Raw genomic sequence first — 15,537 nt, forward strand, 5'->3', positions numbered from 1 at the left:
TCACTGCTCCAAGTAGGGACGACACCAGGCAGGTGTGTGGCCAGGCCACCTCAGCAGCCTGTAATGTGGACACACCAACTTCAGTTAAAACAGCAAATGTATTTTCTCACAGTTCAAGGGATCAGAAGTCCAAAATCTAGGTATCAGCAGAGCGTCTGGTGGAGGAGGATCCTCTTTGGCCCTTGTGGCTTCTGGTAGCTCCCAGCATTCTTGGGTGCTCCTTGGCTGGCTGCTGCATCGTCCCAAACTCTGCCTCCACCTCCACATGGCCTTCTCTGTGTCCTTTTCTGTCTCTTACAAGGATGCCTGTCATTGCATTTGGAGCTCACTCTAATCTAATATGATCTCATTGTGATCCTCACCTTAGTTACATCTGCAAAGACTCCATTTCCAAATAAGGTCCCATTCTGAGGGTTCGGGTGGGTGTGAATTTTGGGGGACATTATTCAACCCACTCTAGCTGTGAGCTGGGGGCCTATAAGCCCGCAGCAGGGTGGAGAGAGCTCAGTGGGGCAGACACAGGAAGCACAGGTCTCGTGAGCCCCATGTGCTGGATGTGAAGCCCAAGGCTCAGAGAAGCTCCAGGGCCCACTGCTAATCAGTGACAGTGAAGAAGCCATGGGTTCCTTAGCTTGTGAAGGCCATTCATTCATTCTACAAACATGTTTTGGGTACTTCTATGCCAGCTGTCTGGAAGCTCACAGTTTGGTGGGAAAATTAGAAAGGCCGTAGCCATCCACTTCTTCATCATCATCACCACAGGCTGGGTCCTCTCTGTAGTGAGTCCCACTGGGAAGAGGGTTCCTGGCTCAGGAGGGTTTGTGGGAGGACATGATATCTCAGCCAAGATCGGAGGCTGATGAGGTCTCAGCAGGGGAAAAGATGTAACAATAGAGAGGTCGGAGGGTCGCGTTCAATGCCTGTGCAAGAAAGGCCTGGAGCCACCCTTGGCCTGCTTGTGAACTCCAGATGAACCATGACACACAGTCACCAGACCTGCAGTAAACATTTACGAAATGAAATTACAGATGAGGAGGCCGAGGCGCCAAGGTGCTTCCAAGTGTCACAGCCAAGTACCAGCAGAGCAAATTCATGAACCCAGCTCCCCTGTCTCCCCATCCATGTCTCTTCCGGTCTGGCCTGGGCACCCCGTCTCAGAAACTGCTTCCTTCCTTCCTGCTCAGCTGTATGCTGGCCTTGCCCAGACCGCAGAGGAGCCAGGTGGAGCTGGGTTAGACACGCAAGACTTTGGGTCTTGCAGCTGAGACTCTGCACCAATCCCAGGCTAGATTTCCATGAGGCACTGGCTAAACTGGTCCAAATTCCCGCAGAGTAGCTCTGAGGGAGAAGCAGAGGAGAAGGATCCCCCTTCAGAGTAGAAACATTTAGGGAACATACACGAAGAACAGACAATCTGTACCTTCTCACTGAACCCACACAAGAACTATTTCAGGGCAGAACCATTCGTTACCCCATTTTGCAGCAGAGAAAGCCCAGGCTCAGAGAGATAAAGTGATTTGTCCAAAGCCACAGTTGTGGAGTCACAAGAATCCAGTCACACACATACCTCCTCCCCAGGCCTTCCCTGCTGCTGTGGTGGGGGAGGAGCCGGGTCACAGAGATGCATCCCTGACTCCCTTAGAAGGTGTTGACCCTGAATGTGACCAAACCCTGGGATTTTAGAGGCCAGCTCTCTCCCATGGCCACTTCCTACTGACAGTGAAAAGGCCACAGGCAACAGGACCTGGGATCACCCAGGGTCACCTGGAATGGAGCGGCAGGGTCAGCCATGCAGAAGAGTTGGGGCTCCTGTCTTTTCCACAAGGGGCTGATGAGGGGATCCCCTCTGGGGCTGGGTCTCCCTTCCCACCCTGAGGACCTGTCTGTTTTCACCCAGACAATCTCACTGATTGTCTGACAAAGTAAAGAAGCAAATGAATTACTTATTCTATGAAAGCCATTCATTCAACAATTTTCTTTTTTTTTTTGAGATGGAGTCTCGCTCTGTTGCCCAGGCTGGAGTGCAGTGGCGCAATCTTGGCTCACTACAACCTCCGCCTCCCGGGTTCAAGTGATTCTCCTGCCTCAGCCTCCCAAGTAGCTGGGATTACAGGTGTGCACCACCACGCCCAGCTAAATTTTTTTTGTAGTTTTAGTAGAGATGGGGGTTTCACCATGTTGGCCAGGCTGGTCTCAAACTCCTGACCTCAGGTGATCCACCCACCTTGGCCTTCCAAAGTGCTGGGATTACAGCGTGAGCCACTGTGCCCAGCCAAACAAATGTATTTTGGTTGGGCCTGGTGGGTCACGCCTGTAATCCCAGCACTTTGGAAGGCTGAGCTAGGAGGATGGCTTGGGCCCAAGAGTTCGAGACCATCTTAGGCAACATAGCAAAATCCTGTCTCTACAAGAAATAAAAAATTAGCCAAGTGTGGTGGTCGTGCTTGTGGTCCTGGCTACTCAGGAGGCTGAGGCAGGAGGGTTGCTTGAGCCCAGGAGGTTGAGGCTGCAGTGCGGCAGGATCATGGCACTGCACTCCAGCCTGGGTGACAGAGCAAGACCTTGTCTCAGAAAAACAAAACAAAACAAGTGAACAAAATAAATACCCAAAGAATTTTTTGAGTACTTCTATGCCCGCTCTCACAAAGCTCCTTGTTTGGTAGGAAAATTCCTTATCTCCCTCCTCAGCTTGGGCGCCTATGTAGGGACACTTGGTTCCCTCATACAAAGCGTGGACAGACATCAGGGTACATACTCATTGCTGTTTCGCTTCTCCATTGCTGCAAGAAACCCGCCCCTGAAACTTAGTTGTGAAAAGCAACTATTTTATTTTATTTTATTTTATTTTATTTTATTTTCTGAGATAGAGTTTCACTTTGTCTCCCAGGCTGGAGTGCAATGGCACAATCTCAGCTCACTGCAACCTCCGCCTCCTGGGTTCAAGTGATTCTCATGCCTCAGCCTCCAGAGTAGCTGGGATTACAGGTGCGTGCCACCACACCGGGCTAATTTTTGTATTTTAAGTAGAGACGGAGTTTTGTCATGTTGACCAGGCTGGTCTTAAACTCCTGATTTCAGGTGATCTGCCTGCCTCGGCCTCCCAAAGTGTTGGGATTACAGGCGTGAGCACCCACACTCGGCGCAACTATGTTATTAAGCTCACAGATTCTGTGGTCAGAAATTTGGAAAGGGCCAGTGGAATGATTTGCCTCTGCTCCGTGATAACCGGGACCGCACCTGGGAGACCTGAAGACTGAAATGACCTCCATGGCTGGAGGCTGGAATTATCTGGGGACCTCTCCAGTCAGTGGTGTGCTACGTGTGGTAGTTGATGCTGGTTGTTGACTGGGACGTGCCCTGGGGCTGTCAGCAGGAACCTGAGACCTCTCCATGTGACTTGGGCTTCTTATGGCGTGGAGACTTCAGTGTAGCCAGAGCTCAGGGCTCTAAAAGTGATTGTCCCAGCTAGCAAGGGGGAAGGTGCGTCATCTTTTGTGACCTAGACTTAGAAGTCATGCAGAATCACTTCACTGCATTTTACTGGTTATCAGTGAGTTGCAAACCCACCCGGGATTCTAAGGGAGAGGAATTAGGCTCCACCTCTTGATGGGGACATGGCTAGTTCTAAAAGAGCTTGGGGGACAGGAGATATTACTGGGGCTGTCTTTGGGAGCTAAAGTCTGCTATGATAGCTAACACAGAGCATTTAGTATATGCCAGGTATTGAATGAACTCATCTGGTCTCTGAACCCCTATCAAAAGAATATTTGTGAGTATATACCATATTTATTTATTAATAAATTATATAAATGTACCACTGTACTAATATATTGTGTAATAATACACAACTCCTTGAAGTTTTAAAAGCCTAGGATAGAAATAATTATAATAAAAAATTTCAATGTTTTCTTTCTGTATTCCTAAAGAGTTTAAGGATTTTTTTATTTTTTTAATTTTTTTTGAGACGGAGTCTCGCTCTGTCGCCCAGGCTGGAGTGCAGTGGCGCGATCTCTGCTCACTGCAAGCTCCGCCTCCCGGGTTCATTCCATTCTCCCGCCTCAGCCTCCCGAGTAGCTGGGACCACAGGCGCCCGCCACCACGCCCGGCTAATTTTTTGTATTTTTTTAGTAGAGACGGGGTTTCACCGTGTTAGCCAGGATGGCCTCGGTCTCGATCTCGATCTCCTGACGTCGTGATCCGCTCACCTCGGCCTCCCAAAGTGCTGGGATTACAGGCCCGAGCCACCGCGCCCGGCTGGCTTGTGTTTATTTAAGGAATGGAAGCGTTCACTCAAGCCAGACTTCAGGGGCAAATGTACATTGGGAATCTCCAAGGGACATCTCCCAAACTACCTGACCAGGGTGTGGGTTCCGCCGAATATCTTTTGGGAAACGCTGTGCGGGGGTCCCTAGAGCGTGTGGGTCCTCCCCATCCCTCCTCCCGGGTTTGAGGGGCCGACGCGGCAGCGCGCCCAGGGGCCTGCAGGTGGCGCCATGTCCCAGGCTGTGGGGCCCCGCTCCCGTCGAACCACGGGGAGACCGTGGGCTCCTCCCGGGTGGTCTGCGCCTGGCGCAGGGAGGGGCCTAGAGGAGGCGGTGGAGTGGGGCGGGGAGGGGTGTCTGCTTAGCATCGGGCGCTGCTCCCTTGCCCTCCCTTGCTTTCCCCTCTCTCCATGCTTCCCACTCCCCCTACTGACCCCCTCACTCCTTCGTCCCCCGCCTGCCCACAGGGACACCCCCATGGATAGGGAGAGGGCTGTGTCCTAGCTCCTGCCAGAGTCTGGAGGCCGCGAGTCTAGGGTGTAGGAGAAGGGGGCCAAGCCAGCCAGGAGGTGGGGCCATTGTAACAACAATCACAGCAATAGTCACTATGTATGGAGGCCCACTCTGCCGTGCGGGGGTGGGGAGCTGCAGTTGTGGGCTGCTAGCTCATCTTCTAGGCGGTCTTCCTGTTCCAGGTCCCTCTGCTGCCCCCAGGAGTCCAGCAAAGCAGGACAGCTCTGTGGACATGGATACCTGTGTGTCCCCCACCCCCAGCCCTGCATCTGGCTTAGCGGGAAGGCAACCCGCTCGTGGGAGGGTGGGAGTGGGTCCCAGGCTGGGGACTTCACTTGTTGCCCTGGAGCTGGTTCTCCAAGAGCACAGACCCTAAACCACTGCCCTCTACTTCCCTGGTGAGCTCCCCACCCCCATACCTTAGGCAAATTTCCTTTTCCAACCCCACTCCACCAATTTTCTCTGCCTCCTCCTTCTGTGAGGTTTGTGGGCCCAGTGTGGCCTCAGGGGGCTGAGGGGATCTCATGGAGTTGAGCCTCACCTTGTCCAGTGCCCAGCAAGGCCTGGGGAGGGGTGCCCAGAAGCCATGTTTTTGTCATACTGCCAAGGAGGACCTTGGATGCACTTGGGGAAGCGCTGATGAAGAAATGACTTCAGAAAAAAAGACCCTGATTTGTAATCTTTGCTGATTTCCATGTAAATTCTCTTACCGTGGCCAGCTTCAAGCTACCAACATGACAAAACATTTCTTAACATTCAGCCATTCCTGTGGTCCCTGGAATATGTGGAGAAAAGAAATTGAACCACAGCGTCCCGGACCTGGTAGAAGCCGCCTCCAGCACAACAGTGAGAAGGTCTGTTTAGGACTCTGCTTGTTTCAGAAAGATCCCGGCTTTGCTTTGGTCAGGATGGGCTACATCACTGAGGGGCCCAGTGCAAAGTGAAGATACAGGGCCCCTTTTTCAAAAATTATTCAGAACTTCAAGACAGCAACAATAGACTGTTAAACCAAGTGTGTGGCCCTTCTGAGTGAGGGCCCTGTGTGGTTGCTCAGGTTGCACACCCATGAAACCTGCCCTGGCTCTGTTCCAGGCCACCAGGATGGCTTGCCTGCCAGGACCTCCTCACTGGCCTTCCTGCTGTCTCCCTGGCCTCCTACAAACCATTCTCCACTCAGCAACCAGGGGTTGCTCTGGGCTGGATCTTGTCACTCCTACACCTGCCGCTTGTCCTTGAGAGCAAGGGCAAGGCTCCTCTGCCTGGCCTGGTTCTGAGACACTGGGCTCCCCAGTTACATATCCTTATAGCTCCGCACACATGTGTTCCTGCCTGGCTCTCTTCCCTGTAGAAACTACATTTCCTTGTATGATCTCTCCCTTTATACCATCAGCAGTGTAGTCCTGTGCTCAGTACCGCTGCAGGCCTGCACTTAGTAGATACTCAGGATGTGCTAAATTGAACAAAATGAATTAATTGATGAAAAGGACAATTGGATCAGGATAGGGCTGTTCCAAATGTTTTCTGGCAACAGACTCATTTCATCAAATGAGATCTTACAGGGAAGCCCACGACATGAAACAGAAAAGGGCCGCTGCTTTGCCTGCAATGGGAGGGACCAGACGCCTGACTCCGGAGGCCATGCAGTCACTGCCTCTGCAGAACCTGGTTTGGCGGCACCAACATTGCCACTTTCCTTTGTTCTTCCTGCATTTAACCTTAGCCGACCCCTCCTGGCTGACATTGACGATCTGGTTTCTGTTCGTATTAGCCGGACTGAGAACTTTAGCTGTCACGTTGGTTGTACATGTGGATTATGCTCCTGTCTCCCCTTCTCCCTGTACCTGCGGATCACTCGGCCATCGCTTGGCTCTGAGAACAGCGGCTGGGCTGAGCCATGGGCAGAGGATTTGGTGTCCTTTGGGGAGGGGTGCTGATGGTGAGCACAGGGGCAGGGCTGCAGTGCCCCCCGCCCCCAGCACAGCCAGGCTCCCCCACTCCCCTCCACTTTGGTCAAATGACCTTCCGTGGCCAGGGGCGAGGTGCTCCCTCTCACTGAGCTCTAACCTCGCTTGAACACCCACCAGCATTTATTGAGCGCCTGCTGGGTGCCAGCATGTTGCCAAGGGCTACCTGGGTTTTATTTCCATGGGTCCTCACGACAACTCTTAGGAATGGCTGTTATCATATTCCCCATTGTACAGATGAGAAAATGGAGGCTCACAGAGGGAGAGGACTTGACCAAGGCCACACAGCGGATGATTCAAACTTCTGACCCACCCTGGCCCACAATGGGCAGCCGAGCTAGAGACCAGTACTTTATGGATGAGGGGAGAAAGAGGAACCAGGACCTCATGCTGCTTCTGGTGGCCTGGCTGCATCCTCTGACCCTGGGACGCGCTCCTGGCTCTTACCTGGGAGGCAGCATAGCAGGTGGCATTGGAAGCAGAGGGGCCTGAGCTAGAATCCCGGCTCTGTCGCTGACCAGTCTGGTGACCCAGCTATGTGGGGGTCTCACCAGCCTCACTCTCCTGCCTGAGCAAGGGAAGCAGAGATGTCAGTACCCACCTGCCCGGGTGGGGGCAGGTGAAGGAGAGGTTGTCTTGGCACACGGCACATCTGAACACTCGCTGGGGTGGCTATGAGGGGTCCTCACGCTTTACCCACCTTGGGCCCATCTTAGAATGAAAGAAAATGGAATCCCCAAGGAGGTCTCTTTCCTGTCCTTCCTCAGTGCATCTCAGAGTTGGACCCTGAGGGGACCCTCTGCTTGGGGCTGTCCTGGGCTGGGCATCCTCCCCTCCCTGCTCCTGATGTAAAAACTCCAAGGGTGGGTGCCGCATGAGGAGGGCCAAGGTGCTGCGTTCTAGTCCTTGCCTGGCCACCGGCTGGTGCCTAGACCCTCTCTGGACCTCAGTTTCCCCACCTCCAGCATGGGTCTCCTGCAGAGCCCGTGAGGCAGCAGAGGATGGATTTGAGCCTGGCTGTGTGCGGTCAGGGCACCTCCCATACGCGAGGGGGTGGATCAGTCTCCTGGGGTTGCTGTGACAAATGACCATGAACTCAGTGGCTGAAAACAAGACACACATTCGCTCACAAGCAGTCTCGTATCAAGGTGTCAGAAGGGCCACGCTCCTGCAGACGCTCCGGGGGAGAGCCCTGCCCTGCCTTCTCTGGAAAAGATGCAGCGATCCCTGGCCTTTCTGGGCTTGTGGCCTCTGATCTCTGCTCTGTCTTCAGGTCTCCTCTGTGTGTCTTCTCCTGCCTCTTATAAGGACATTTGCCATTGGATTTAGGGCCCACTAGGGTAATCCAGGATGATACCATCTTAAGATCCCTAACTTAATTATATCTGCAAAGACTCTTTTCCTAAATAAGGTCATATTCACAGCTTCCAGGGATTTGGATGTTGACATATCTTTGGGAGCTATGACAGTCAGCCTCACCTCACAGGCTCCCTACCAGAGAAAGGCAAGTGAGGGCCAGCGGATTCCTCTAAGGACCTTGGAGAGTGCCGCATACAGTAAGCTCAACAAATGTGAACCCTAAGAAAGAGACATGGAGGCACAGGGAGGAAAAGATCACGGAAGAGCTTGCCCTGGCCATGCTGAGACCCCTTCCCCCCAGCTTTGGGCCTTGTCTCTGGGGGTGGGCCAAGCCGGACCCCTCCAGGGCAGGGCGGCAGCACACACCGCCAGCCCTGCATCTCTGCATCCCATTCTGGCAGAGCACTACCCAGAAACATATTTTACCCATAAACGGGCCAATTAAGAAGGCAAATGTTTTCAAACAGGAGGATTTATTGGCATAGAATGTGCCATCCCTCTAAGCAAGAGGAGTGGGGGTGTGTGCGGAGCCATCTGGAGGGGAGTTGTTTATCATATTTATTTAGTTACAAGTTGCTGGTTTAGAACTGGCAGAGCTTTGTGAGGTGGGATCGCAGTTCCCTGGGAGGGCACAGGCTCGGGTGGCTTTGTGCACAGGGGTATGCCCGTGTCTGTGCAGACACGTATGTCTTTGTGCCTGAGCGTATGTGACCGTGCACCTACATGTGGGAGTTTGCCTGCCTATGCGTGTGCATACCCTTTATTGGGTCTGCTCTCTGTGTGTACACACATGTGCCTCTGTGTGTACACATGAGTGTAAGAGGGCCTAGAGATGTCCTGGTGCATGCGTGTGCACATGCGTGTTTGTGTGCATGTGTGTGCAATTCTTCTTTGTGTGTGGATGCAGGTGTGGCCTTGTGTGCACTTGCCTGGGACAGATCCTACCTTACCCAATTTGACTTCCAGGCAGTCTTGGACATCTCTGAGAGTCTCTTCCCTGGCAATTTCCCACATCATCCTCTTTCTTTGATCTCTTTCTCTTCCCCGTGTGTCTTCTCTTCTCTTTCTAGACCAGGGGACACCAGTAGGTCACGTGAATGAGAGAAGAAGGTCTGGCCTGGGCTAGGCCTTTGATGCAGACTCATTGTGTGTGGCAAAGGTAAAGGAATTGTCTTGGCCTCTGCAAACATACATGCTCTCCTATTTTACCTAAACACGTGGCTCTGACTCTCTGAGACTACTCTGTTTCTCAGCATCTGATAGAGATATGGGACAAAGAATCATTACAAGTGCCATGATCGCCAACAAGAACTACTTAGCCTGTGGTTCTGGGAGCCAATAGACAAGGGTGGGGCTGTGGTGAACAGGAGAGTGCGTGCCCCTGTCTAAGGGACAGCCAATCCTCGGTGATGGTTGCTTTGAGAAATTTCCAGCCTCTGTTGCCAGGTCTTCTGAGTTTCTAAGAAAAACCAGAGATTTGTATTTTTAAGAGAGTGTGCTTGATTTTTAAACATTGGCTCAAAGATTTTTGAAACATTGCAGGCCAAATGGAACTTGTGTGCAGGATGAATGATCAGGGTGCTCATCTGCAGCCTCCCCCACGCTCCATGTGCACCCCTCTGATCTGTGGCTGTAGGGATCATTGTCAAGCTCATGACCAACATCTGTGCCTCGATTTTGGGTCTAGACCCACTATGAGTCAGACCCTGTCATCCTGGGCTCATGTCTTGTGAGCACAATGAACCCAGCATGTCCACGAAGCAAAGCAGCATCTTTCCTCCATCAGTGCCTCCCTTGAGTCCCCGAATCAGAGGCAGCCCCGCCATCAGCTCTGGAGATGGAATCTGGGTGTCATCCTTGGGTCCTCACCACCCCTCAGCCTCCGTGGGCATTGAATCAGTCACCCAGTCCTGCTGGCTTTGCCTCCAGCACACATCTCTACAGCCTCCGTCATCTCTCTCCTGAATGACAGTGACAGCCCGCTCCAGCTTCTCCAGGCTTCTAGTTGTGTCTCCCTGCTCCTTCCCTGTCCACCTCTCCAGCCTTGTCCTTCCCTCTCCCTGCTGGCACTTTAAGCTTCAGCAACACCAGACTGCTTGTGTTCTATTTTATTGCCTCTTGCCTTTGCAATGACGTCTCCTCTTCATGGAATGCCTTTCCAGGCCTCTCCACTTCCCCCGACTAACTCCTCTTTATCCTTTGAGATCCCATAGGAAGCTCCCTCTGCAAAAGGGTGATAAATAAATCTCACCTGGCAAGGTTGTTCTCAGACTGCATGAGGTCCTTCCTGGCACAGTGCCCAGCACACAGTAGGTGCTCACTTGATGTGCCTGCCTCCCCGTCCGCTGGCCTCCCCTGCCTGCCACTCTCTCTGGAGGGAGGACCGTGGGCACTGACTGGGCCCTGAGGGATGAGACAGAGTAGCCCCCAGACAGGTGATCTCACAGCCTTCCCCAGGCCTGGACCCGGTGACTCTCAAATGACATCAGCCACGGAACTTCACCAGCAGATCAGGTGGGCTTTTCCAATCAGCCCTCTCCTGTTAAATGGGCATTTTGATATTTTCACTGGATGTACATTAGTCACGGAGAATTCTGATTTGCACAGCCTGTGTTTTAGAGTGTGATGTTCTAGGCTGTAAAGATAATCAGCTCTCATAAGAGATAGTTTCCCTGGTGCCAAGGGTGGGGGACTGGGGTGGCGACAGCGTGATTGGAACTCTAAATGTCTGAAGTGACTGTCTCAAGTCCCCTGAGCCACAATTCAATCAGCCTCTCCAAACGAGAAATTCAACAGTGAGCGTTAAAAAAACAGTGGAGGATGAAAATGAAAAAAGAAAAACACTCAAAATGGAATTAAGTTTTGGGGGCATTGGATGGAAGTTTTAAAAATGAACAGTCACAGCCCCCCAAAAGGTGCATCTTCTCCAGTGCGGCGGAAGCAGGGAAGGGTTTGCTTTCTGGGATTCCGGAAGAACTTTCAAAGTTTCTTCTTCCTTTTTTCCCCCTCCTTTCCTTCCTCCCTCCTTTATTCTCTTCCTTCCACAGATGTTTCCTGAGCACCTACTGTGTGCAGGGCACCACGCTGGGCACTGCAGACCTAACAATGAACAAGGCAGATGTTGTTCCTGCTCTTGCAAAGTTTATAACCCTCCCCTACTGTTAGGCCTGAGGGTCGTTTCCAGTTTTTCATGGTTGCAGATAATGGGGCAATGAACATTTTTGCATGCATACCAGGATGAGGCATGGAATGAAGTTTTCTGTTGCCCCAGAAATGGTGCCTGAGGCCAAGCTACAGACAAAGGCATCAAGTACCCCACGTTATTTTTTTATTTTATTTTTGAGACAGAGTCTCGCTCTGTCATTCAGGCTGGAGTGCAGTGGCACCATCTCGGCTCACTGCAACCTCCGTCTCCCAGATTCAAGTGATTCTCCTGCCTCAGCCTCCCGAGTAGCTGGGATTACAGGTGTGTGCCACCATGCCTGGCTAATTTTTTTTTTTTTTTTTTTTTTTTTTTAGTAGCCGCAGGGTTTCACCATGTTGGCCAGGCTGGTCTCGAACTCCTGACCTCAAGTGATTTACCTGCCTCCTAAAGTGCTGGGATTATAGGGGTGAGCCACCGCACTTGGCCAAGTCCCCCACATTCTAAAGAGCACAGTTAAAACTGAGGCCAGACACACCCTTCTGGGCTTATACAGTCCAGCCAGTTTGGTTATCCCCAGCGTCCCCTGGCTCCCCTGGCTCCTCACCTCATTCTGCTCCATAAGCAGGAAACTGACAAGAGATGGAGAGAGGGGAATTATTGGATCATAAGTTGTCATCCCTTGGAGGGGGTCAGTTATTGTCCCCTCCCTTGGAGGGGGTCAGTTATTGTCCCCTCCCTGTGGGAGAGGAGAGGGGATCTCTAAAGGGACCCCTTGCAGAGATGGGGAGGCGTCCACTAGATGGGCAGACAGGCATCTCGGGCCACATTAGAAGGTCTGTGTCTGCTTAGACAGTGGCCCAGCCTCTGCCCTGGGACCTCCGTGAGATTGGACTAGGTATTGGTGGGCAGAGAGGGGATGCATGGAGGAGGCTGTGGCCAAGTCGACCCCAGAGAACAAGGCTGGCTGGGACTGTTTGCCAGGGCAAGGACTTAAGGGGAAGCAGGAGGCTGGGTGTGGTGCCTCACGCCTGTAATCCCAGCACTTTGGGAGGCTGAGGTGGGCCAATCACCTGAGGTCAGGCATTCGAGGCCAGACTGGCCAACAGGGTAAAATCCCGTCTCTACTGAAAATACAAAAACTAGCTTGGCATGGTGGCAAGAGCCTGTAATCCCAGCTACTTGGGAGGCTGAGGCAAGAGAATCACTTGAACCCGGGAGGCAGAGGTTGCAGTGAGCTGAGATGGCGCCACTACACTCCAGCCTGGGTGACAAAGCGAGACTCTGTCTCAAAAAAAAAAAAAAAAAAAAGACGGGGGTGCAGCAGGAGGTCTGGGGTGGCTGCGTGGGGTGCGAGTTGAGGGGTGGGAGAAGCAGGGCCATGGTGGTGGTCTCATGTCAGGGCCCCTGAGGACACAGAGGCCCCAGGGCACAGCTGGGGGGCATCCTGCACACCCTCTTCCCTCACTTGGCCTTGGCTCCTGGACGCTGTCTCTGTCTACCCTCTCTTGCTCCTCTACACCTGCCAGGCCAGGCCAGGGGCTGCCTCTGGGTTCTCGAGGCCCCAGGGTTCCTGCTGCCTCAGCACAGCCCTGGCCTGTCACTGCCAGGTCCACGTCCATCTCTGGTTGATAGCAGGGGCTTTGTCTCGTTCGCTGCTATATCCCCGGCGCCTGGCACAGGGCTGGTAAACAGCAGGCGCTTGCTACGTGTTTGTGACGGGACCTTTGTTGGAGGAGCACTGAGCTGAGGGGAAGGTCGGCTCAGGGTCCCCCGGCTGCAGGATACTGTCCTCGGCAGAGGGGAGGGCCGGCTCAGGGTCCCCAGGTTGCAGGGCGCTGTCCTCGGCAGAGGGGAGAGCGGGCTCAGGGTCCCCGGGCTGCAGGGCGCCATCCTTTGCCAGCTCTTTATCGTCCCTCCTCTTTATGCCCTGCGTTGGTCTGGCTTTCAGTTTACAACCAAATAAATAAATCTTCATCCTCATAGAGAGTTTTCCTCTGGGCAGTGCTCCAAGGAATTGGAAATGCTCCCAGCCTAGGTTTATGGCAAAGGAGCCTCCGGGAGGAGATTTCTTGAGGCTGTTTAGGTGACCCCAGGCCTTTACCAATGCTGTGCCCTCTGCCAACTGTGTGGGCTGAATACGTCCTCCGCCTATGAGGCCTGACCGAAACCCCACCTCCCCCAGGAAGCTGTTCTTGATCCCCCAGCTGTGTCGGGGGTTCTTCTATCCAGTCCTGTAAGCACCCTTCACCCCGGCATCATCAAAACAGGATTTTAGTTGTCTGTGTCTGTCTTTTTCATTAGACTGGGCACTCCCTGAGGGCAGGGACTCAGCGCTGTGTCCCCAGCAGACATCAGGTGCTCATCACGTGTTTTCGAAGGCAGTTGATTGCTTGAACCAGGCTAGAAGGTGATGTACAGAGTGTCTAGAAATGAGTTAAGTGTGAGGTTGAGATGAGGTAGGGCACACGAGGTGGAGAAATAAAGAGAGGGAAGGGCAGGCCAGGGAGAGGGCGTGGTGTGAGCAGAGGTACCGCAGCAGGACATAGCCTGGCGTGCGGGGCTCTCAAACAGTGAGGCTGCCGGCTGAGCCCAAGCTCCAGGCATGGGGCGGTAAGCCAAGAGATGGTAACTAGGGTTGGCGCGACAGATGTGGAGAGTAGGTGACAGACTCAACTGAGGTCCTAGAGGTGGAATCCATGGGGGTGGTTATTGGAGTAGGGGGGTGGCGGGGATGGCGCCCAGTACCCTGGCTCACGACTGGGTGGCTGGTGGAGACACAGAGGAGGAGTTGGGGGTGGGGGTGGGGAGCACTATGCTCAATGTTGGACCCTCCGAGTGGGACGTGGGGCATTGGGGGAGATGCCCAGGAGGCCCTGTGGTCTGGAGAAAGGTCCAGGCTGGAGAAGGAGCAAGGACACAGCTGGCAAGGGGGCGCCTGAGGCCGTGGAGTGGACAGAAGCCGAGGAGGAGGGGGACTTCACCCTGAGCTTACAGCTCCTTGCATAACTTAATTGCCAATATGATTAAACATGTAAATAATTATTTAAAAATAAATATATTTAGAAACTTAAAATTTGGATTCAGGAACATTTTAAAGAAAAAGCACAGATGGCCGGGCGGGGTGGCTCACGCCTGTAATCCCAGCACTTTGGGAGGCCGAGTCAGGCAGATCACGAGGTGAGGAGATCGAGACCATCTTGGCTAACACGCTGAAACTGCATCTCTACTAAAAATACAAAAAATTAGCCGGGCGTGGTGGGGGGCGCCTGTAGTCCCAGCTAATCGGGAGGCTGGGCAGGAGAATGGCGTGAACCTGGGAAGCGGAGTTTGCAGTGAGCCGAGATCATGCCACTGCACTCCAGCCTGGGCGACAGAGCGAGACTCCGTCTCAAAAAAAAAAAAAAGAAAAAAAAGGAAAAGCACAGACATAACAGTGAATTGCACATTGCCTTTCCCAAATATGCTCACATTATGTTCTGAAAAGTTCCCTCTGCTCCCTGCCCACTCCATCCCACTCCCCAGGGAGTAACTGATTTCTCTTTCCAGCATGGTCCAAAGGGCTTGTCAGGGGTTTGCTGTCAAGTGAGTGATGTAAACCCTCCCCTCCACTAGCCCCAGTAGGCATCTGTAGTGTTCACTGCTCACTGGCATGTTTCAGGATAAACTCTTTTGTGGAAACAAGAAAAGGAGAAAAGGAGCTTGGGCCTGTGTTGCTGGGAGTTCACTTGAGGGCCCCTGGAGCTAGAGAAGGTGGGACAAACTGTTATCTACATCACACAGCCCTCCTCAGAGGGGTGTCCTATTGTCCTCATTTTACAGAGTTGGCGACTGAGGATCAGAGAGGTGACTCTCCTAAGGCCATGGAACTGATGAGTGGCCGAGCTTGGATTCAAACCCAGGTCTGCCCAGCTTCAAAGCCCAGGCTCTTGCTCCTATTTTTAGGAGAAGATACAGACCAAGTTTATTTTACATAGGATTCAGAGATTCAGGATCCTGGAGTTCTAGTGACCATTTGACAGATGGAGAGACTGAGGCATAACCAGGGCTAGAACCCAGGCCTACTGCCCCTGAGTCTGAAGTTTTGACCATCAGCAATCATTCAGGGTGAAGGGATCTTGCAGGAAAGATGACAACTTGACGGGGCCAGGGTTCAGAGGTGTGTGCAGATGGGAGGTTCAGAAGCTTCCCTAGAGGCTGCAGCCAATTCCCCCCACCTCTCCCCTCCATCCCCCACATAACACACTTGGCCCCCTGTGAACCCATGGTTCCTGCTCAGAGCAGGCGGCCAAAGCAG

At 53.0% G+C, this 15,537-nt stretch overlaps 4 annotated features.

Annotated features, from left to right (window-relative positions):
- Positions 4,397-4,446: a silencer, noted in NCBI's record as "silent region_12826". NCBI's record gives its function as "represses an Ori minimal core promoter by ATAC-STARR-seq in GM12878 lymphoblastoid cells {active_cell/tissue: GM12878}" and the evidence as "EXISTENCE:reporter gene assay evidence [ECO:0000049][PMID:35858748]".
- Positions 4,449-4,612: a silencer, noted in NCBI's record as "fragment chr20:32450578-32450741 (GRCh37/hg19 assembly coordinates)". NCBI's record gives its function as "represses an EF-1alpha promoter that drives an FKBP-Casp9 reporter gene in an ReSE screen in K562 erythroleukemia cells {active_cell/tissue: K562}" and the evidence as "EXISTENCE:reporter gene assay evidence [ECO:0000049][PMID:32094911]".
- Positions 4,897-4,976: an enhancer, noted in NCBI's record as "active region_17750". NCBI's record gives its function as "activates an Ori minimal core promoter by ATAC-STARR-seq in GM12878 lymphoblastoid cells {active_cell/tissue: GM12878}" and the evidence as "EXISTENCE:reporter gene assay evidence [ECO:0000049][PMID:35858748]".
- Positions 12,439-12,939: an enhancer, noted in NCBI's record as "H3K4me1 hESC enhancer chr20:32458568-32459068 (GRCh37/hg19 assembly coordinates)". NCBI's record gives its function as "activates a minimal SCP1, AML or CMV promoter by ChIP-STARR-seq in naive H9 embryonic stem cells {active_cell/tissue: H9 hESC(naive)}" and the evidence as "EXISTENCE:reporter gene assay evidence [ECO:0000049][PMID:30033119]".

This window comes from Homo sapiens, chromosome 20 (assembly GCF_000001405.40).
Source record: "Homo sapiens chromosome 20, GRCh38.p14 Primary Assembly".
Lineage (NCBI taxonomy): Eukaryota > Metazoa > Chordata > Mammalia > Primates > Hominidae > Homo > Homo sapiens.